Here is a 23,666-nt window from a genome sequence, read left to right as displayed (position 1 = left end):
AAATACAGAATTTCCCTTTTTGGTAGTTTTATTTCATTGTAGTTTGATTTTTCTAGAATGTAACATAAATGGAATCAAACTGTATGTAGCAATTTGTATCTTGCTTCTTTCATGTGGCATAATACTTTTGAGACTCATTGGAGTTGTTGTGTTTATTAGTGGTTCTTTTTATTACTCAGTACTATTCTATCATCCATTTGTTTATCCATTTACTCAGTGATGGACATGTTGGATATTTCCAGATTTTAGCAATTATAAAGCTGTTGTAAACTTTCATGAACAGGTCTTGTGTAGACATGTGTTTTGATTTCTCTTTCATAAATATGCAATCCCTCTCCCCTAGGAATGGGATTGCTTGGTCATATGGTAAGTGTACATTTAACTTCAGAAGAAACTGCCAGACTATTTTCCAAAGTGACTGTACAATTTTGCGTTCCCACCACCAATGTATGAGGGTTCCAGGTGTTCCATATCTTCATCAGCACTCAATATTGCTATTTAGACATTCTAGTAAGTTTTGCAGTGATAGCTCGTAATTTTACTTTGCATTTCCCTGATGCCTAATTATGTTAACATTTTTTCATGTGCTGGAAAAATGTGTCTTCTTATTGAGTTGTGAGAGTTCTTTATATATTCTGGATACAAGTCCATCATCAAATAATGTATTTTACAAATACTTTCTCCCACTCTGTGGCTTGTCGTTTCATTTTCTTAATAGTGTCAGTCAGAGAGTGAAGTTTTTCATTTTAGTTAAGTGCAGTTTATCAGTTAAAGACTTTATTTCTTCAAAGTAGTTTTAGGTTCACAGCAAAACTGAGAGGAAGGTACTAAGATTTACCGCCTGACCTACAAATGCATAGTCTTCCCCATTATCAGCATCCCCCAGCAAGATGGTACCTTTGTTATGATCAAGAACATATATTGACATCATAATCATTCAAAGTCCATAGTTTATTTTAGGGCTCACTCTTGCCATTGTATATTCTGTCAGTTTGGACAAATGTATAGGACGTGTATCTGCTATTATAGTACCATACAGAGTAGTTTTGTTACTCAAAAATCCTCTGTGCTCTGCCAATTTATCTATTTTTAAATGGTTTCTATCTTGCCTAAGATACCTTTGCCTAATGGAAGATCACAAAGATTTTATCCTGTGTTTTTTCTTCTAGAAGTTTTATTGTTTTAGGTTTCACATATAGGTCATGATATATATTGTTTCACACAGATATATGTATATGACATATATCCACCAACCTATATATTTATGCATGTATGTTGGTCTATAGTTTGTTTGTTTGTTTGTTTTTCTTACAACGTCTTCATTTGGTTTTGGTGTCAGGTTAATGGGGGCATTGTAAAATGAGTTGATCTGTGGTCATCGGTCTGATACGATGTTTTGATTTCTAGAATTTCCAATTGTTTTCGCTCTTTGCTAAAATTCCTTGTGTGTTGTCTACCTTTCCACTAGATCTTTTAACATGTTGGTTATAGTTTTTTGAAAGTCCCTTTCTTTTCGTCCCAATATCTGGATCCTTTCTAAATCTGTTTCTGTTGATTGCTTTATCTCGACAGTGGGTTGGGTTTTTTTCTTGCTTTTCTGGTTGTCTCTTCTTTTTTCTTCTCCTCCCCGGCCCCGAGACAGAGTCTTTCTCTGTCTCCCAGGCTGGAGTACAATGCCTACAATGCCGCGATCTTGGCTCATTGCAACCTCCACCTCCTGCGTTCAAGCAATTCTCCTGCCTCAGCCTCCTAAGTAGCTGGGATTACAGGCGTATGCCACCACACCTGGCTAATTTTTGTATTTTTAGTAGAGACAGTGTTTCACCATGTTGGCCAGGCTGGTCTTGAACTCCTGATCTCGTGATTCGCCCACCTCGGCCTCCCAAAGTGCTGGGATTACAGGCATGAGCCACCGCACCCAGCCTATTTTTCTTCTTTTCTTTTTTTTAACTGATTACTGGATATTGTGGGTATTAGAAGAGACTGAGGTTAATAGTATTTATGTCCAGAAATGAACAATATTAATGTGAAGGTTGTGTACATCTTATCAGCAGTTGAGGTAGGTTTGGTTTCCTTTTTTTTCCCCTTTGCGTTAGACTTTATTTATTAGCTTATTCACTGGAACAATGCTTGGAGAAATCTGAAAATGCATGGCAAGTTTGTTAGAGATCTTGCTTTCATATAATTTGTAGACTTTATGGCTTTATTTTTAAAAAACTTTTAATTTTTTTATTTCAGTAGGTTTTTGGGGAATAGGTGGTGTTTGGTTACACAAATAAGTTCTTGAGTGGTGATTCTAAGATTTTGGTGCATCCATCACCCGAGCAATGTACACTGTACCCAATGTGTAGTCTTTTACCCCACTTTTATCCCAGCTTGGTTTCGTGTCTGTCAGTACCTTCAATGTACCACCGGCTTCATTTTCTACTGGTGCTACTTTGTGCTTAGAACGGCACTTGGGGGTCCAGGAGGATTTTTCTCTGTCTCTCTGCTCCATCCCTTGCTTTCAGCAGCCTTCGCATGCCAGAGCTGCAGAGTGGAGTCTGCCTCCATACTTTTGCTCTGCCTCCCAGCAGTAGGCTTGTTACTTGTTACTTGAATCTAGGCTCATAGTTGGGGGTCCGGAAGGTCACTTTGTTCAACTCTTCTCCATCTTTGTTGTCTTTGTCCACTCCCGGTTTGGTCAAGCCTCGTGTATCTTGATTCTCAGCATTTCTGCCTGTGCCCTTGAGAAGGCTCTCTTGTCTCCTGCCCTCAGTGTTTTCTGGAAATACCTGATGGAGGCCAGTGGAAAAGAGTTTGCAAGTTCATGTGCCTGTGGCTCCGACCTATTCTAACTTGATATGCTAGCCCACTTGGCCTTCAAGAATCTGTTAAAATTTTAGCTGCTTTCTTTTTACCCCCTTGTATGACAGCATCCTATTTCAGCTATGCTGTAACAAAGATGAAACTCCTTATGTGTCCTGTCTGTCCTTGGAGGTATATGTCACGGTTTGGAATTCAGTTTACTAGGTTGCCTTATGATCACAAATCTTTGATGGACTCCAGAAAAGTATGATTTTGTAGATCAGCAGTCCTCTGAGCCTTTTTGGCACCGAGGACCAGTTTCACAGAAGACAGTTTTTTCCAGGAGAGCTGGAGAGGGTTTGGGGATGAAACTGTTCCACAAGGAGCACACAACCTCGATCGCTTGCATGCGCAGTTCACAATACAGTTCACGCTCCTATGAGAACCTAATGCTGCCGCTGAGCGGATGGGAGGTGGAGCTCAGGTGGTAATGCTCACTCGCCTGCTGCTCACTTCCTGCTGTGCGGCCCGGTTCCTAACAGGCCTGTACGGGGAATTGGGGTCCCCTGCTGTAGATTATCTGGCTAGATTTAAATTTACCGTATTTACTAATGAAGTCAGTCATTGAGTCTAATGGGGCTGTTGGGATTAGCCCCAAAAATTTAGTCAGGGAAATGGATGACTCGTACAGACTTGTATCATCCTCAGCATATACCACTGTTGGAATTGAACGGTGATACGGTTATTGCTCTTTTGTGGAAGTCTTCTCAGGAACTATAAAGAGGAGAGCAAAAAGAAAGGCAGTTTAGTGGGAGGAGAATGTTGGAGGTAAAAAAGAAAACAAACAAGAAATGGTAAAAGTAAAGGGTGTGTATACATCAAAATGAACTTCATCTTTTTTATTATCTACTTTATTTGACTTTAAATTTTTATTGCTATCACTTCATCTATTTTCTGATTTTGCCTAGGGCTAGCCCTGGTATAGGATGTATTATATATTTTAAAATACAATGTGATTTTAAAGTAATAAGTTAATCGCTTCATTTAATCATTCTCTTAGGCTGCTAAAAGTGTTAAATGGCAATATATTAATTGACATTATAATGATTGAAAATAATAATCTGCTTTATTTATTGTGAGGAAATGAAAGAACAAGTGGGAATTTTAGAACCTGTTGGTGCTTACCTGTCTTACTTGTCACCATGGATTAAGGATGAGTTTAGGAAAAAATTAAGCAAGACTTTCAGCTGTTCAGTTTTCTCTCATTATAAAGCTTTCCTTTAAGAAAAGTTTTTGACAAACATAAAAGTATATCAATAATTTTATTACTTTTAGTGAGGAAATTAAAGTTCAGCCAAGTCAGTTCAGAGAATCTGTAGAAGCAATTGGAAGGATTTATGAGGAACAGAGAAAGTTAGAAGAAAGTTTTACCATTCACTTAGGTAAGTGTGTTAATTTTTTTGCAGTTATAATTTATTGTAACTTCTGAAACTATTTTTTAATTATTATTTTTTTAAAATAATAGAGAAAAGGTTTCGCTATGTTGCCCAGGCTGGTCTTGAACCCCTGGGCTCAAGCAATCCACCCACCTTGGCCTCCCAAAGTGCTAGGATTACAGGCATGAGTCACCGTGCCTGACCGCTGCAACTTTTTTTATATGCTGTAAGAGAAAAATTCCTAACATGTGAGTAGAGTGTACCTATGTTATTTTTAATTCCAAATTATGTTTTACTTTAAGAAAGACTATATTTTATTGGCTTTAAGTTTTGTATATTTATATAATGTTTTTTGCAGATAGATTAAACTGAAAAAGTCATTAAAATGGGAAGTTGCAAGGCCCATTTTTAATTATTTTGTGGTACAGATTTATCTGGATTCTTGCCATAGAGATTTGCATCTTGTTATACTGGACTTTCTGTAGCTGCTTAAGTATCTTTCCTGGACTATTGCCTACCCCCAGGAGCCCAGTTGAAGACCATGCATAATTTGAGATTGCTGAGAGCAGATATGCTGGACTTCTGTAAGCATAAAAGAAATCATCGAAGTGGTGTGAAACTTCATCGGCTCCAAACAGCTCTGTCACTTTATTCTACATCTCTCTGTGGCCTGGTTTTACTAGTAGATAATCGAATTAATTCATATAGTGGTATTAAAAGAGGTAAGTTAACATCATACACATTTATTTTGTTAAATTTCATCCTGTAACACCATTCTTACAAAGAAAGGAATTACAGGGAAAATGAAAAAAAATTTTAATCACCTTGACATCCAAGTAGACCAAACAAACATACCCAGCCATAGTTATTTTATTTCAAACTGTAGCATCGATAGAGTGCTTCATATTTATTTTTCTTAAAATGCTATTATAAATAATGTTTTTATAGAATTCTCATTACGAGGTAAAACAAAAAGAGCAATCACATGTTTTCAGTTTAGAAGCAAATTCTGGCTTGGTGATTTTTAGCTCATCCATTTGTCTCTCTCTCTCTCTCTCTCTCTCTCTCTGTCTATATATATATATATATATATATTTTAATAACCTACCTCTTAAATTTGCTAGGTAAAATTCTACCTTCCCTCTTAGTACAATTCACTTTTTATGATTATTTCTAAATTTGTAAATATATAAAATGTAGAATATATAAAATATATGAAACGTATACTTGTTTTTGAAAGAAGCTTAAATAGAATTTATTTCCCCTCATAAATATAAGAACCTTCTTATATTTTGTAGCACCTTTTGGGGTGGATTATGATGAAAGTATTATTTAAAGAAGACCTGGAATTACATTAACAAAGAAATGTCAATATAATTAACTCTTTTGAGTGTTAGAGAGGTTAAGTCTCTAATCAAAACAAAATTGCTGTGCCCTAACTTAAGGCATAATTATTTAAAAGACAAGTATAAGAAATCTTATTAAGAAAAATAAGTATTATTTTCTTTTTCTACTAAATCTCATTGTAAGTAAATACTAAATATTTGATAGTTCGCATTTAGAAGTTTGTAAATGTTTTGGGTCCCTTAGATTTTGCCACAGTTTGCCAAGAATGCACTGACTTCCATTTCCCCCGAATTGAAGAGCAATTAGAAGTTGTCCAACAGGTGGTACTTTATGCTAGAACCCAGCGCAGGAGTAAATTGAAAGAATCACTTGGTGGGTAAAACTCACTTTTATTATATTCTGTCTATAATCACTGTAATAGTATGTGGATCAGTATTAAGATCATATAGAAAATTATGTTGGTGGAAGATAGGAAATTAAAAACAAAATTAAGATTTTTTTAAGTTTTTTCTATTTAGAAAGAACATCAAAATGTATTTTTGGTTTTTTGGGGTTTTTTTTCCTTCAACTTTTACTTTAAGTTCCAGGGTGCATGTACAGGATGCGCAGGTTTGTTACATAGGTAAACGTGTGCCATGGCGGTTTGCTGCACAGATCAACCCATCGCCTAGGTATTAAGCCCATCGTCTATTACCTATTCTTCCTGATGTTCTTCCCTTCTCCTAACAAGCCCGAGTGTGTGTTGTTCCCCACAATGCGTCCGTGTGTTCTGATCATTCAGCTCCCATTTATAAGTGAGAGCATGTGGTGTTTGGTCTTCTGTTCCTGCATTAGTTTGCTGAGGATAATGGTTTCCAGCTCCATCCATGTCCCTGCAAAGGATATGATCTCATTCCCTTTTATACCATGTATTCCATGATGTATATGTGCCACATTTTCTTTATCCAGTCTATCATTGATGGGCATTCAGGTTGATTCCACGTCTTTGCTATTGTGAATAGTACTGCGAAGACCATGCGTGTGCATGTATCTTTATATAGAATGATTTCTATTCCTTTGGATATATACCCAGATCTTCAGAAGCTTGGACTCTGTGCCTAATTTTCTTTTTTAAGAGGATGATTTTCTTCAAGGTTCTGAGTGAAAACTATTGTTAAATTTCAGTACTATAGTTATACTTGAAGTAGGCACTCAGTGGAAAGTTGGTGATCTTTTGATCCAAGTTCTATATCTTTAAAGTGGACGTAATTATTACTACAGAGGGGATTGGAAACGTAGACTAAAAGGTAGCACAAAATACACACCTTTTTATGTCATATCTTTGACTGTCTTAAGTAGCATGAAGTCAGTTAAATGAATTATTTTTGGTTCTTTTAAAAAAAAATCACTGTATCCTTGAATGACTGCTTTTTCTATATTTATCCATAACATAACATTCTTTCTATTTAGGAAATTTACAGGAAAAAATTTTTTAATTTATTGAGATGTATTTGATAATTAAAGATTGTATATATTTGAGGTATACAATTTGACGATTCAATGTACACAGATATTGTAAAATAATTACTTCAAACGAATTAGCATATTTATTACCTCAGATAGTTACCACTTTTCTGTGTCCGTGGTGAGAACACTTAAGATCTGTCCTCTTAATGAATTTCAAGTATACACTAGAATATTGTTAAATATAATCACATTGTCATACATTAGATTTCCAGAACTAACCATCTGTGTGGCTGAAACTTTGTACCCCTTGACCAAAATCTCCCCATTTCCCCCCGCCCCAGCCCTGGTAAGCACCTTCTACTCTATCAGTGTGAGTTCAACTATTTTAGGTTCCATGTATAAGTGAGATGATATAATATTTGTTTTTCTGTGTCTGGCTTACTTCACTTAGCATCCTCCAGGATGCTTAGTGTCCTCCAGGTCAATCCATGTTGTTACAAATGGCAGGATTTTCTTGTTTAAGGCTGAATAATATTCCTTTGTGTGTCTGTTTGTGTATGTGTGTACATTTAGGTGTGTTTTTAGTATCTTGATTATTGTGACTAATGCCAAAATGAAGTCTTTAAGAAACTAATTTCATTTCCTTCGGATATATACACTAAAGTGGAGTTGCCGGATCATAAGATAGTTCTGTTTTTAATTTTTTAAGAAACCTCCATCCTGGAAATGGTTTTTAAAGCTATTGAAAAAGTTAATGGCATCTTTCTTCAGAAGCTTTCTATCTACACATAGGAAGAGGATTAAGGGAAGGCAGGTAAAAGAAAAATTTCTGGCTCAAATCGCAGAGTAATTCAGCTGTTTTTTAATTGAAAAATGAAAGTTTATTTTATTCTTTATTTATTTATTATTATACTTTAAGTTTTAGGGTACATGTGCACAATGTGTAGGTTAGTTACATATGTATACATGTGCCATGCTGGTGTGCTGCACCCACTAACTCGTCATCTAGCATTAAGTATATTGGTTTCTTTGTAAATTAAATTGGTACCATAGGTTTGTTTAGTTAGGACCTAAATATTTTTTATTTTATTTTATTTTATTATACTTTAAGTTTTAGGGTACATGTGCACATTGTGCAGGTTAGTTACATATGTATACATGTGCCATGCTGGCACGCTGCACCCACTAACTCGTCATCTAGCATTAGGTATATCTCCCAATGCTATCCCTCCCCCCACCCCACCACAGTCCCCAGAGTGTGATATTCCCCTTCCTGTGTCCATGTGATCTCATTGTTCAATTCCCACCTATGAGTGAGAATATGCGGTGTTTGGTTTTTTGTTCTTGCGATAGTTTACTGAGAATGATGATTTCCAATTTCATCCATGTCCCTACAAAGGACATGAACTCATCATTTTTTATGGCTGCATAGTATTCCATGGTGTATATGTGCCACATTTTCTTAATCTAGTCTATCACTGTTGGACATTTGGGTTGGTTCCAAGTCTTCGTATTGTGAATAATGCCGCAGTAAACATACGTGTGCATGTGTCTTTATAGCAGCATGATTTATAGTCCTTTGGGTATATACCCAGTAATGGGATGGCTGGGTCAAATGGTATTTCTAAGTTCTAGATACCTGAGGAATCGCCACACTGACTTCCACAGTGGTTGAACTAGTTTACAGTCCCACCAACAGTGTAAAAGTGTTCCTATTTCTCCACATCCTCTCCAGCACCTGTTGTTTCCTGACTTTTTAATGATTGCCATTTTAACTGGTGTGAGATGGTATCTCATTGTGGTTTTGATTTGCATTTCTCTGATGGCCAGTAATGATGAGCATTTTTTCATGTGTTTTTTGGCTGCATAAATGTCTTCTTTTGAGAAGTGTCTGTTCATGTCCTTTGCCCACTTTTTGATGGGGTTGTTTGTTTTTTTCTTGTAAATTTGTTTGAGTTCATTGTAGATTCTGGATATTAGCCCTTTGTCAGATGAGTAGGTTGTGAAAATTTTCTCCCATTTTGTAGGTTGCCTGTTCACTCTGATGGTAGTTTCTTTTGCTGTGCAGAAGCTCTTTGGTTTAATTAGATCCCATTTGTCAATTTTGGCTTTTGTTGCCATTGCTTTTGGTGTTTTGGACATGAAGTCCTTGCCCATGCCTATGTCCTGAATGGTAATGCCTAGGTTTTTTTCTAGGGTTTTTATGGTTTTAGGTCTAACGTTTAAATCTTTAATCCATCTTGAATTGATTTTTATATAAGGTGTAAGGACGGGATCCAGTTTCAGCTTTCTACATATGGCTAGCCAGTTTTCCCAGCACCATTTATTAAGTAGGGAATCCTTTCCCCATTGCTTGTTTTTCTCAGGTTTGTCAAAGATCAGATAATTGTAGATATGTGGCGTTATTTCTGAGGGCTCTGTTCTGTTCCATTGATCTATATCTCTGTTTTGGTACCAGTACCATGCTGTTTTGGTTACTGTAGCCTTGTAGTATAGTTTGAAGTCAGGTAGTGTGATGCCTCCAGCTTTGTTCTTTTGGCTTAGGATTGACTTGGCGATGCGGGCTCTTTTTTGGTTCCATATGAACTTTAAAGTAGTTTTTTCCAATTCTGTGAAGAAAGTCATTGGTAGCTTGTGATGCGGATGGCACTGAATCTGTAAATTACCTTGGGCAGTATGGCCATTTTCACGATATTGATTCTTCCTACCCATGAGCATGGAATGTTCTTCCATTTGTTTGTATCCTCTTTTATTTCCTTGAGCAGTGGTTTGTAGTTCTCCTTGAAGAGGTCCTTCACATCCCTTGTAAGTTGGATTCCTAGGTATTTTATTCTCTTTGAAGCAATTGTGAATGGGAGTTCACTCATGATTTGGCTCTCTGTTTGTCTGTTGTTGGTGTATAAGAATGCTTGTGATTTTTGTACATTGATTTTGTATCCTGAGACTTTGCTGAAGTTGCTTATCAGCTTAAGGAGATTTTGGGCTGAGACAATGGGGTTTTCTAGATATACAATCATGTCATCTGCAAACAGGGACAATTTGACTTCCTCTTTTCCTAATTGAATACCCTTTATTTCCTTCTCCTGCCTAATTGCCCTGGCCAGAACTTCCAACACTATGTTGAATAGGAGTGGTGAGAGAGGGCATCCCTGTCTTGTGCCAGTTTTCAAAGGGAATGCTTCCAGTTTTTGCCCATTCAGTATGATATTGGCTGTGGGTTTGTCATAGATAGCTCTTATTATTTTGAAATACGTCCCATCAATACCTAATTTATTGAGAGTTTTTAGCATGAAGGGTTGTTGAATTTTGTCAAAGGCTTTTTCTGCATCTATTGAGATAATCATGTGGTTTTTGTCTTTGGCTTTGTTTATATGCTGGATTACATTTATTGATTTGCGTATATTGAATCAGCCTTGCATCCCAGGGATGAAGCCCACTTGATCATGGTGGATAAGCTTTTTGATGTGCTGCTGGATTCGTTTTGCCAGTATTTTATTGAGGATTTTTGCATCAATGTTCATCAAGGATATTGGTCTAAAATTTGCTTTTTTGGTTGTGTCTCTGCCTGGCTTTGGTATCAGAATGATGCTGGCCTCATAAAATGAGTTAGGGAGGATTCCCTCTTTTCCTATTGATTGGAATAGTTTCAGAAGGAATGGTACCAGTTCCTCCTTGTACCTCTGGTAGAATTCGGCTGTGAATCCATCTGGTCCTGGACTCTTTTTGGTTGGTAAGCTATTGATTATTGCCACAATTTCAGATCCTGTTATTGGTCTATTCAGAGATTCAACTTCTTCCTGGTTTAGTCTTGGGAGAGTGTATGTGTCGAGGAATTTATCCATTTCTTCTAGATTTTCTAGTTTATTTGCGTAGAGGTGTTTGTAGTATTCTCTGATGGTAGTTTGTATTTCTGTGGGATCGGTGGTGATATCCCATTTATCATTTTTTATTGTGTCTATTTGATTCTTCTCTCTTTTTTTCTTTATTAGTCTTGCTAGCGGTCTATCAATTTTGTTGATCCTTTCAAAAAACCAGCTCCTGGATTCATTGATTTTTTGAAGGGTTTTTTGTGTCTCTATTTCCTTCAGTTCTGCTCTGATTTTAGTTATTTCTTGCCTTCTGCTAGCTTTTGAATGTGTTTGCTCTTGCTTTTCTAGTTCTTTTAATTGTGATGTTAGGTTGTCAATTTTGGATCTTTCCTGCTTTCTCTTGTGGGCATTTAGTGCTATAAATTTCCCTCTACACACTGCTTTGAATGCGTCCCAGAGATTCTGGTATGTTGTGTCTTTGTTCTCGTTGGTTTCAAAGAACATTTTTATTTCTGCCTTCATTTTGTTATGTACCCAGTAGTCATTCAGGAGCAGGTTGTTCAGTTTCCATGTAGTTGAGCGGCTTTGAGTGAGATTCTTAATCCTGAGTTCTAGTTTGATTGCACTGTGGTCTGAGAGATAGTTTGTTATAATTTCTGTTCTTTTACATTTGCTGAGGAGAGCTTTACTTCCAACTATGTGGTCAATTTTGGAATAGGTGTGGTGTGGTGCTAAAAAAATGTATATTCTGTTGATTTGGGGTGGAGAGTTCTGTAGATGTCTATTAGGTCCACTTGGTGCAGAGCTGAGTTCAGTTCCTGCGTATCCTTGTTGACTTTCTGTCTCGTTGATCTGTCTAATGTTGACAGTGGGGTGTTAAAGTCTCCCATTATTAATGTGTGGGAGTCTAAGTCTCTTTGTAGGTCACTCAGGACTTGCTTTATGAATCTGGGTGCTCCTGTATTGAGTGCATATATATTTAGGATAGTTAGCTCTTCTTGTTGAATTGATCCCTTTACCATTATGTAATGGCCTTCTTTGTCTCTTTTGATCTTTGTTGGTTTAAAGTCTGTTTTATCAGAGACTAGGATTGCAACCCCTGCCTTTTTTTGTTTTCCATTTGCTTGGTAGATCTTCCTCCATCCTTTTATTTTGAGCCTATGTGTGTCTCTGCACCTGAGATGGGTTTCCTGAATACAGCACACTGATGGGTCTTGACTCTTTATCCAATTTGCCAGTCTGTGTCTTTTAATTGGAGAATTTAGTCCATTTAAAGTTAATATTGTTATGTGTGAATTTGATCCTGTCATTATGATGTTAGCTGGTGATTTTGCTCGTTAGTTGATGCAGTTTCTTCCTAGTCTTGATGGTCTTTACATTTTGGCATGATTTTGCAGCGGCTGGTACCGGTTGTTCCTTTCCATGTTTAGCGCTTCCTTCAGGAGCTCTTTTAGGGCAGGCCTGGTGGTGACAAAATCTCTCAGCATTTGCTTGTCTGTAAAGTATTTTATTTCTCCTTCACTTACGAAGCTTAGTTTGGCTGGATATGAAATTCTGGGTTGAAGATTCTTTTCTTTAAGAATGTTGAATATTGGCCCCCACTCTCTTCTGGCTTGTAGGGTTTCTGCCGAGAGATCTGCTGTTAGTCTGATGGGCTTCCCTTTGAGGGTAACCCGACCTTTCTCTCTGGCTGCCCTTAACATTTTTTCCTTCATTTCAACTTTGGTGAATCTGACAATTATGTGTCTTGGAGTTGCTCTTCTCGAGGAGTATCTTTGTGGCGTTCTCTGTATTTCCTGAATCTGAACGTTGGCCTGCCTTGCTAGATTGGGGAAGTTCTCCTGGATAATATCCTGCAGAGTGTTTTCCAACTTGGTTCCATTCTCCCCATCACTTTCAGGTACACCAATCAGACATAGATTTGGTCTTTTCACATAGTCTCATATTTCTTGGAGGCTTTGCTCATTTCTTTTTATTCTTTTTTCTCTAAACTTCCCTTCTTGCTTCATTTCATTCATTTCATCTTCCATTGCTGATACCCTTTCTTCCAGTTGATCGCATCGGCTCCTGAGGCTTCTGCATTCTTCACGTAGATCTCGAGCCTTGGTTTTCAGCTCCATCAGCTCCTTTAAGCACTTCTCTGTATTGGTTATTCTAGTTATACATTCTTCTAAATTTTTTTCAAAGTTTTCAACTTCTTTGCCTTTGGTTTGAATGTCCTCCCGTAGCTCAGAGTAATTTGATCGTCTGAAGCCTTCTCTCAGCTCGTCAAAGTCATTCTCCATCCAGCTTTGTTCCATTGCTGGTGAGGAACTGCGTTCCTTTGGAGGAGGAGAGACGCTCTGCGTTTTAGAGTTTCCAGTTTTTCTGTTCTGTTTTTTCCCCATCTTTGTGGTTTTATCTACTTTTGGTCTTTGATGATGGTGATGTACAGATGGGTTTTTGGTGTGGATGTCCTTTCTGTTTGTTAGTTTTCCTTCTAACAGACAGGACCCTCAGCTGCAGATGTGTTGGAATACCCTGCCGTGTGAGGTGTCAGTGTACCCCTGCCGGGGGGTGCCTCCCAGTTAGGCTGCTCGGGGGTCAGGGGTCAGGGACCCACTTGAGGAGGCAGTCTGCCCGTTCTCAGATCTCCAGCCGCGTGCTGGGAGAACCAGTGCTCTCTTCAAAGCTGTCAGACAGGGACATTTAAGTCTGCAGAGGTTGCTGCTGTCTTTTTGTTTGTCTGTGCCCTGCCCCCAGAGGTGGAGCCTACAGAGGCAGGCAGGCCTCCTTGAGCTGTGGTGGGCTCTGCCCAGTTGGAGCTTCCCGGCTGCTTTGTTTACCTAATCAAGCCCGGGCAATGGCGGGCGCCCCTCCCCCAGCCTCGCTGCCGCCTTGCAGTTGGATCTCAGACTGCTGTGCTAGCAATCAGCGAGACTCCGTGGGCGTAGGACCCTCCGAGCCAGGTGTGGGATATAATCTCGTGGTGCGCCGTTTTTTAAGCGGGTCTGAAAAACGCAATATTCGGGTGGGAGTGACTCGATTTTCCAGGTGCGTCCGTCACCCCTTTCTTTGACTCAGAAAGGGAACTCCCTGACCCCTTGCGCTTCCCAAGTGAGGCAATGCCTCGCCCTGCTTCGGCTCGCGCACCCACTGACCTGCGCCCACTGTCTGGCACTCCCTAGTGAGATGAACCCGGTACCTCAGATGGAAATGCAGAAATCACCCGTCTTCTGCGTCGCTCATGCTGGGAGCTGTAGACCGGAGCTGTTCCTATTTGGCCATCTTGGCTCCTCCCCCCAGGACCTAAATATTAGGGTAATAGTCATTTCAAATATTTTTTAAGTTGTGTTTTTCTTATATTTCATGTATCATAGATGTAAAATCACAAACATCCTCTTGTCTGGCTTGAATGCATACACAGTATTTTATTATTTCTCCTTTTTTTTTTTGAGACAGAGTCTCACTCTGTCATCTAGGCTGGAATGCAGTGGCACGATCTCAGTCCCTGCAACCTCTGCCTCTTGGGCTCAAGCAATTCTCGTGCCTCAGCCTCCTGAGTAGCTGGGATTACAGATGTGTACCACCGTGCCTGGCTAATTTTTGTATTTTTAATAGAGACGGGGTTTTGCCATGTTGGCCAGACTGTTCTCAAACTCCTGGCCTCATGTGATCTGCCCACCTTGGCCTCCCAAAGTGCTGGGATTACAGGCATGAGCCACTGCACCTGGCAAGTATTTAATTATTTCTTATAAAAACCTGATATTGGTGCCCAGGAAATAAAATGTGGTAAGCTTTAAAATTGGGGCTGTTTGTACCTTTAAATCTGTGTTTGGTACTTTTGAATGCTTTTTTCTTTCTTTTCTTTGTTTGCACCTGCTGTGTTTAAAGAAACCATTGTAGTATTTTAGGTGCATATATTTTCTGTTGTACAGTAGCAGAGAGATATTATATCTTTGCTTGATATAAGGAAGACCTTTCTGAAGGGTCTTTGTTCCCATCTCCCATCTTCCTCTCTCCCAGAAATTACAGAATTCTTTCCTTTCTCCCGTAGCTAGAATGTGGCTATCTAGTCATAACTTGACTAGCATAACTTGACTAGGGTTCACTGCAGTTTCTTTATCTATTCAATAAACTTGTAAAAAATAGTTTATATGTTTTTAATCATTTTTTAAATAGGTAAAACACTCTCAAAATTCACAATTCAAACTGTACAAAAGAGCATACAGTGAAAGTGTCCCTAACTCTGTTCCCAGCCATCCAGTTTCCCTCTTCAGAGGTACCCAGTGCTATCTCACATGTACCTTCCAGACAGATGTTTATGTATGTGTAAGCAAGTGTATGTGTGTACTTATTTTCCTTTTTTACATAAATGGCAGCTTTCTACATAACACTATTCTGTACTCTGCCTTTTTCACTGAGTAATTTATCTTGGAGGTCATTTCGTATCAGTCCATAAAGACCATCCTCATACTTTTATGCTGTTGCATAGTAGTCTGTTGCAGGATATCCTGTTATTAATCAGTCTCCTCCTAATAGACATTTGATCTATTGCTTATTTTTTGTTACTATAAGTAGTAATGACTACTAATTGTAAATAACCTTGCATATGAATAATTGTGCATGTGTGTGAGCAGTAAGCATATCTACAGAAGAGATTCCTAAAGATAATTCCTGGGTTAAAGGACACATACGTTTATAATTTTCCGTAGTATTGGCGATTACTCTGTATAGTATTTCTACCAGTTTATATTCCCACTAAAGGGAGGTTTTGCTGTGGCAATATGTGTTATATATAACAGAGCCAGCTGAGTATTAGAAAATCCCTATAGAAGTATATCCTAACAAAACCTTTCAGAAAATCTCGGTATACCCTCTTATTCTTCTACCAATTGTTATTACTTTTATCAACCCTCGCAAAAAGAACTCATATCCATATTACGTAAAAATAGCTTCCTTCTTCTCGTACAAACTAGCAATAATGTGATCAGAAACATTTTAACCTTATTCTTAGTAGTGACTAAAAGCATGAAGATTGAGATCATGACAGGTGTGGAAGGAGGAGGAGGATTCTAAGTATATTTATGAGAGATAGAAAGTGTGCAGTCAATGACAGGAAGTTTTTAAACCACATACGGCTAAGGCAGTGCGTGTATATCATGATTTTATTTTGTTCTTGTTCAAGCAACTACTTTGTGGTTTCAGTGAGTCAGTGATGCAAGTAGGTTTATAAAAGACTTTCTTAAAGCTGCATGTTGTTATAGAAGGACTTTGTGAAAATACCTTCTCCATCTTTTTCTGTGCACGCCTACATGTGTGTTCTGCATGTTTACATCCTGATATGCAATTACTTGTTTATTCTAAGACATTCCATTATTTTTCTTACTATGGTTGTTATATTAACATCTTCATATTTCTGTGGTCCATGATAAAAAGCCAAAAATGTTTATACACATTTATATACATTTAAAAAAAATAAAACTAGCCATCTTCTTACTATTACTAAACAAGGTATTGCCATGAAAACATGGAAAGGGAAATGGACTATGAACTGTTCTCTCTCGTTTACTTAACAGAGATTCTATTTGTTCATACTCCATGTGAACAAGATTAGAGTCCTTCTTTATTGTTCCTTATAATCTATGCTACGATTAGACATCTATTCAAAGCCTATCAAATCACATGGCTCTATATTAGAAACGATAATTCATTAAATATGGATTCTAGCATCAAAGCCTTCTATCTCTCTGACTCTTGATTTATAAAATATGTGCATTTACAAAGTACAGTGTTATAAATCAATTTATCAAAGTCACTGGATAAAAATATTGTTACTTTTATTCAGATCTCTTTTAAAACTATAATATTTTGATATTTGCTGTTTACTTGTTTGAAGGTCTGTTTTCATGTGATTTTCTGATGCTAAAGGCCATTCCAAAATAGATTCCAAAATAGTTTTTAATTGGAATAAATATGCAATCTCTTAAAGATAGCTACTTTGAAGGCTAATATTCAGTTTGCATTTGTGAGTTCTGATGGAATTCTTATAAACTTTAGATGTCTCTTTTATTAAAATATATATGTAAAATAATTTGCATTCAGTCTTTATAATGTATATTCAATCATAATGTTTATTTTATTTATTCTTCTAAGAAATAGCGTGCCTTCAAAAAAGAAGAAAAACTGTTAAATATCTGAAAAAAAAGCTGTTTCATTTGAAACAGTTTCACCTATCTGTTATAATTGTATATAGCGTCAGGTAAGAAATAAATTTTAGGAATGGGGTGAATATACAGTGATTCCTGGTCCCACTAGCCATTTATTTGTAGCCCTGAACAAGTTATATCAACAACAGTGACTCAGATTCTAAAAATAAAGATGGCCACACCACAACTATCTAATGAAGTTATTTTATATGTGGTTAACTTGGTGCCCTGAACCTCCCAGATGAAAAATAGGATACTGGCATGTCTAATATGGGTAATACCATAGGACTTATAATCTGAGTATGTGAATTAAAGACCTGGCTCCACTACTTATCTGTGCATGCTTGGTTAAGTTAGTTAACCCATCCAAGCCTCTGTCTCCTCATACATAAAATGGACATAGTAGTAGGACTTACCTCCCAGGGCTGTGGTTATAGAGGTTTTGTAAGAATTAAATGACATCATCCATGTAAAGCATATAGCAGAATGCCTGGCACATAGATGCCCTTAGTGAATTTTTGCTGTTGTTGTGATTCTTTTGGGAGCAGTCATAGTAACATATTCTCATATGTTGTTATGTTCTTTCATATTGCATTGTCTTATGAATAGATTCTGGAAACCAAAATGGAGGAAATGATGATAAGACTAAGAATGCTGAGAGGAACTATTTAAATGTTTTACCTGGTAAGTATTTCTTTTTATTTTAAATTACTGTTTTCTTATACCAAAAGATGTTTTATAATGCACACCATAGGAATTTATGTTTTAAATCTATGATTTTAGTATATGTCATTATATCACTTTGAAACAACACTTTGTACCTATATAATACACTTTCACAGACGTTTTCCAGTGTTAAACTTAATTATTTTGTTGGTTTGTTTTGAGACGAAGCCTCGTTCTGTCGCCCAGGCTGGAGCACAGTGGTGCGATCTCAGTTCACTGCAACCTCTGCCACCCGGGTTCAAGCGATTCTCCTGCCTCAGCCTCCTGAGTAGCTGGGACTACAGGCCCACGCCACCGTACCCGGCTACTTTTTTTGTATTTTTTGTAGAGATGGTATTTCACCATGTTGGCCGGGCTGGTCTTGAACTCCTGACCTCAAGTGATCCACCTGCTTCAGCCTCCCAAAGTACTGGGATTACAAGCGTGAGCCACCATGCCCGGCCTAAAAATTATTAATATTATACTAGTACTCACTTTTTTCTAGATCCATAAAAGAAAAATTGCTCAAGAAGTTGCATAAGTTTTATCATTGTTTGCTATTGCAAATTTTCTCTTATACACTATTTCTTAGCTTCTTGAGAAATAAACCAAAAAATTAGTTTTACTCTGAAATATAAACTATACACTTCTCAGCCTTATAGCTAAAATCAAGTGATATATGAACAGTAGTGCACAGAGATATAAACAGTTGAACTTAAATATAAAGAAAATGGATCATCTCATTTATTTTATTTTCATTTCCTCTTACGTTTTTCTGCTTTCCATTTTTCTCCTTTATTATTCTTGAATATGTTGTTTAACAACTGAAAATTCAGTCTCTCAATCCTCTTTCTGATTGAATTCACTCTGATGACCCTTAGTGTTTGTATCACAGAACATAACAAGGACTATTTGTACACTTTATACAATTTTTTAACTAAATGGTACATTTTACAGTTTCAGAAATAGCCATCTCTTGATGGTTTTTTATTCTCCTTTAAGGTAATTTTCTCACATTTTCTTCCCCAGATCTTTGACATGTAGATCACATTAACCTACACACGAAACCGCCGTCACTCAGTGGGAACACATTACATTTAACCTAAGCCAATATTGTACCCATTGCTGGTATTCATCTTGTCAGGCCCCGTCTGTTAGCCTGTGGCCATCAGCCTCGAAATTTCCTCCCACCTTCAGTTATCCCATCTTAGTGGATAATGTTAGCATCACCACATGCTGTTTCCTCCACTGTGTGGAACAGGAGACCATCCTCCTCTTCATCTAAAAATACCTTCAGTGAAGGATCTATTGTATTTCTCTTCATGGATCCACAATTTAAATCATCCAGATTTTGTGGCTTTCTTAAAATTTGCCAATCTTATTACTACTCTGGAAGAACTAATATCTGTTTTTTTTTAAACATAACTCTTTGTTGCTATATGTGTTTCCTTAGTCTTTTTTGGAAAAAGCCTATAGGTTGTTTAACAACTGGAAGTTCAGTCTCTCAGTCCTGTTTCTGATTGAATTCACTCTGATGACCCTTAGTAGTGTTTGTATCACAGAACATAACAAGGACTCTCTTATTTGTATACTTTATCTCTGTATTACAACCAAATCAGGAGGATGTATCATAAGTCTGAGATAGAAAAGGAATATTAAAGTATTCAGTTAGAGATAATAGCATCTTAATTTCCATTTAAAGTATACCTACACAACCAGGATGTTTACAGTAGATGAAAAAAATCTAAATCAAAAATTAATTTAATTTTTAAATTGCAAAGAAAAACAGTTTTATTTATATACTTGTAAGCCAGTCATAGTTTACTTAATAATGATCTAAGTATTTACAGTTTATGTCATCTAATTCTCATAATAACCTTGTAAGGAAAGCAATCAGCATTATTTTTCCCATCTCATACACTAAGTAACAGAGGATCAATAAGTTGAATTGATTTGCCCAAGATCACTCAGCCAATGTGCTAGAAATCACATCTTCTTAACATCCAATCTGGTCCTTTTTCTACTATATCATATTAATTTGATTACTACTGCCAGCCCCATGGCCCCCATTTTATTAATGGGTAAAATTAGGCCAAGAAACAAGTCATTTAAGGTCAAAGAAAGCAGTGCCAATTTGGGGATTAGGAGCACCTGACTTGTTCACTAAGTCATCCTGCTACACTCCTGGATCATGGCCCATATCTCAAGCTATGACTTCCATCATCTGAATTATCAGTAGCGGTTTAGAAGGTAATACACTTCACTGGGCCAGAAGGATATTGTCTTATCATATAGTTCACTGAGTTTCTGATAAGCAGTCTGTGTCTTTTGTTGCCTTCCTAGAAAATTATAACTACACTATTCCTCACGAATTTTCTTTTTTACTGTCACTTTATCCAGTTTATTGTGATATATCTGTTGCTGTCCTTTCTTTAATTTCCTTCTCTGTTTATCTAATTCCTTTATCTTGTTCAAGTTAAAATAAAAAATAAAAAGACCTTTGCCTGGGACCTGTCAGAGGCATCTGTGGATACAGCTGATGCACAGCGGCAACTAGAAATGTTAACCATAGGGCTAAAGTATATTAAGTATTTTAAGTATACTGTATGTTTATAAGTAGATCCTAAGATAATGATGTTGCTGCAAGGGCGAGCAGAATTTGTGAGGGCAAAGGTTAAGAGTGGAAGAGTAGAGATACGCAGACCTTTCCTAGAAGGACTTATCAGAATTTCCAGTGAGGTGTATGTATTGGTAAGAACATATCCTTTCTATGTTTTCTATTTTATTTCTTTATATTGATAGGAACTACAGAAAATACAAGCTGATGAGATTTTTCTTGGCTTGTAGAGCTACACAGAAAAAAGAGTGATGGTAGGAAGCATGGATTTTAATGTTTGAGAAAGACTGCTCCAGCGTTCAGCCTTAAATACTCATTCATTCAACAAATACTTATCGAGTACCTTCTACGTGCCAGGTGCTGTTCTACTTGCTAAAGATAGAACATTTAACAAAATAAAATCCCTATAATTATGGCATGTACACAGTGGTCTCTTTAACATAATATGTACATAAAAGAATTTCAGTGCTAAGAAGAAAATAAAACCGAATAAGGTGAAAGAGTAAAGGGTGGAGGAGACCACTAGTACATAGGATAGTCAAGGAAGACCTTTCTGAGGAGGTGACTTTTGATCTGAGATGTGATTGATGAAAAGAAGTCAGCCCTGTGAGAATCTTGGAGAAGAGTCCTCCAGGCAGCAGCCCTGAATTGGAAACAAGCTCTGCATGTTTGAAGAACTAAACAAAAGCATATGTAACTGGAGTGAGGAAAGAGTGAGACAAGATGATGTTGGAGAGAGACGCAGGGTCCAAGTCATCTTGGCCTTCTAGACTAGTGGTCCCCAACGTTTTTGGCACCAGCACCAGGGACCAGTTTCATGGAAGACAGTTTTCCACAGACCGGGGGTTGGGGAGGTTTGAGGATGATTGAAGTGCATTACATTTATTGTGTACTTTATTTCTATTATTATTACATTTCAATATTTAATGAAATAATTACACAAGTCACTGTAATATAGAATCAGTGGGAGCCCTGAGCTTGTTTTCCTGCAACTGGATGATCCCATCTAGGGGTGATGGGAGACAGTGACAGATCATCAGGCATTAGAATCTCATAAGGAGCACGCAACCTAGATCCCTCGCATGCACAGTTCACAATAGGGTTCGTGCTCCTGTGAGAATCTAATGCTGCCACTGATCTGACAGGAGGCGGAACTCAGGCAGTAATGTGAGCAGTGAGGAGCGGCTGTAAATACAGATGAAGCTTCACTTGCTTGCTGGCTGCTCACCTCCCACTATGCAGCCCGGTTCCTAACAGGTGATGGACGGTGCCAGTCCATGAGGGACCCTTGTTCTAGACCACGATAAAGAGTAGGGATTTTAAGTAGGGGAGAGATATAATATGATATATATTTAAGTCATAACTGCATGAAGAATTGGTATGTAGGTGGACAAGTAGGGAGTAAGGAGATCGATTAAGAGAATGTTACAAAAACCTAGGTGAGAAATTACAGTAGCATGAACTGGGGTGACACCAATGAAAGTGGAATACTCAGATGTGGGCTGTTCTGGAGATAGAACTGAAAATAGTTGGTGGTAGATTGGATTGTGGATGGGGTGATAGGCATTGAGGGAAAGCAAAGGAATTAAGGACACCTATCTTTGTGTCCTGGGCAACTAACTGGACAGATTGGTCTCATAAGTTGAGATGAGGAACAGCAGATTTAGGGCACGTAAAAAACAAGTAACCTTTTTTACATGTTAAATTTGACATTTTAGGCTGGGCACGGTGGCCCACGCCTGTAATCCCAGCACTTTGGGAGGCCAAGGCGGGCGGATCATGAGGTCAGGAGATGGAGGCCATCCTAGCCAACATGGTGAAACCCCATCTCTACTAAAAATACAAAAATTAGCTGGGCATGATGGCACATGCCTGTAATCCCAGCTACTCGAGAGGCTGAGGCAGGAGAATTGCTTGAACCAGGGAGTCGGAGGTTGCAGTGAGCCAAGATGGTGCCACTGCACTCCAGCTTGGTGACAGAGTAAGACTCCATGTCAAAATTAATTAATTAATTAATTAATTTGACATCTTGGGCATGTACATCAAAATAAAGATGAGTACTCATTTGATTTATTTACTACTTGGTGGTCACTTCATACCAATTTATGAACCTATTGCATAATTGGCTATTGTCTCTTATTTTCATTACCTTCTCTCTGAGAATTGAAGAGCAGTAATCACAGTTGCTTCCTGAATCCAGTAAATGTTTGGGATACACCCCTACTAGTTCAACACATTGATTGCCCATTACACTTACTTATAAAGCCCATTGATGAATGTGACTTACTTAGGCATTTGGTAATCATGATTGTATTTATTGTTCACAGGGGAATTTTATATTACACGGCATTCTAATCTCTCAGAAATCCATGTTGCTTTCCATCTCTGTGTGGATGACCATGTGAAATCGGGAAACATCACTGCTCGTGATCCTGCCATTATGGGACTCCGAAATATACTCAAAGTTTGCTGTACCCATGACATCACAACAATAAGCATTCCTCTCTTGCTGGTACATGATATGTCAGAGGTAAGCAGATAGAAAAATCCTGTAATTTTATGATTTACATAATCATAATATTGATTTAACCCCCAATATTATATAATAATCCACTTTACATTTTTTTAAACTAATGGATTTTTGCATCTCCGATCTGGTTAGTAGAATCGAGTGAAATATAATACAAATTGGTGAATAATCCTTAACCATTTATGTTCAGAGAGCTATAGCATTGTCCTATAGTAAATAAACTAGAAAATCCAAATAATACTTAGCTTTGGATAAGGCATGTGCCCCTACACCTCTTTCTCCTCCTTTTTTTCCTCCTCTTCCCTGTCTTCCTTCTCCCCTACCCCCTCTTCTTACCCCTCTTTCTTCTTTTTGGCTTAAGTAGCATTAGATTTACATACACATAGATTTGGCTTAGGCTGCCATGAAAATTAGTCTGCATTTTCTGAGTTTGCATTAATAGGTATTGGGAAGAGATGCTAGATGACAGGAAGAAGCCAGCCTTAGTTTAACATTTGTCTCAAGGGTTCCTTTTAGCTAATACAGTTCTGCAATTAGGATGTAGCATGATCATTCTTCCATTTTGTTACGGACTATAATTTAATTTTTAACAGTCTTTTTCCATGAATGGTTTTCCTCTTTCTTCCTTCACCCACATAGAAACTGGTTAGAAGGCATACATTGTAGAAATAATATAAAGACTAAAATTCAGCTTTACATAGTCTGGAGAAACAAATGAGCCTCAAGCCAAACAGGTCCAGACAAGTCATAGGAGAGCCAGTGCTCAACTTGGTGATGAAGGGCTACTATCAGCAACTCTGT

General features: G+C 37.6%; 1 protein-coding gene across 11 annotated transcripts in view, besides 1 other annotated feature; it reads left to right on the top strand.

Moving 5' to 3' along the window:
• FERRY3 (FERRY endosomal RAB5 effector complex subunit 3) overlaps positions 1-23,666 on the top strand; it is a 50,735-nt gene that overhangs the window by 15,467 nt on the left and 11,602 nt on the right. For 3 of the 11 annotated variants that reach the window (NM_001346156.2, NM_001304811.2, NM_020374.4), the window contains 5 exons: positions 4,123-4,229; positions 4,748-4,945; positions 5,814-5,942; positions 17,623-17,697; positions 22,663-22,865. In NM_001346156.2, coding sequence (NP_001333085.1) covers positions 4,123-4,229; positions 4,748-4,945; positions 5,814-5,942; positions 17,623-17,697; positions 22,663-22,865 — 712 coding nt within the window. Of the gene's footprint in view, positions 1-4,122; positions 4,230-4,747; positions 4,946-5,813; positions 5,943-17,622; positions 17,698-20,520; positions 20,749-22,662; positions 22,866-23,666 lie in introns of those variants that run through there. The other 8 variants (NM_001346157.2, NM_001346155.2, NM_001346153.2 and 5 more) reach the window with 4 other exon arrangements.
• Positions 13,145-13,779: an enhancer, noted in NCBI's record as "OCT4-NANOG-H3K27ac-H3K4me1 hESC enhancer chr12:4618390-4619024 (GRCh37/hg19 assembly coordinates)". NCBI's record gives its function as "activates a minimal SCP1, AML or CMV promoter by ChIP-STARR-seq in primed H9 embryonic stem cells {active_cell/tissue: H9 hESC(primed)}" and the evidence as "EXISTENCE:reporter gene assay evidence [ECO:0000049][PMID:30033119]".

This window comes from Homo sapiens, chromosome 12 (genome assembly GCF_000001405.40).
Source record: "Homo sapiens chromosome 12, GRCh38.p14 Primary Assembly".
In the NCBI taxonomy this organism is placed as follows: Eukaryota; Metazoa; Chordata; class Mammalia; order Primates; family Hominidae; genus Homo; species Homo sapiens.
This window is presented reverse-complemented; position numbering and strand designations above follow the sequence as displayed.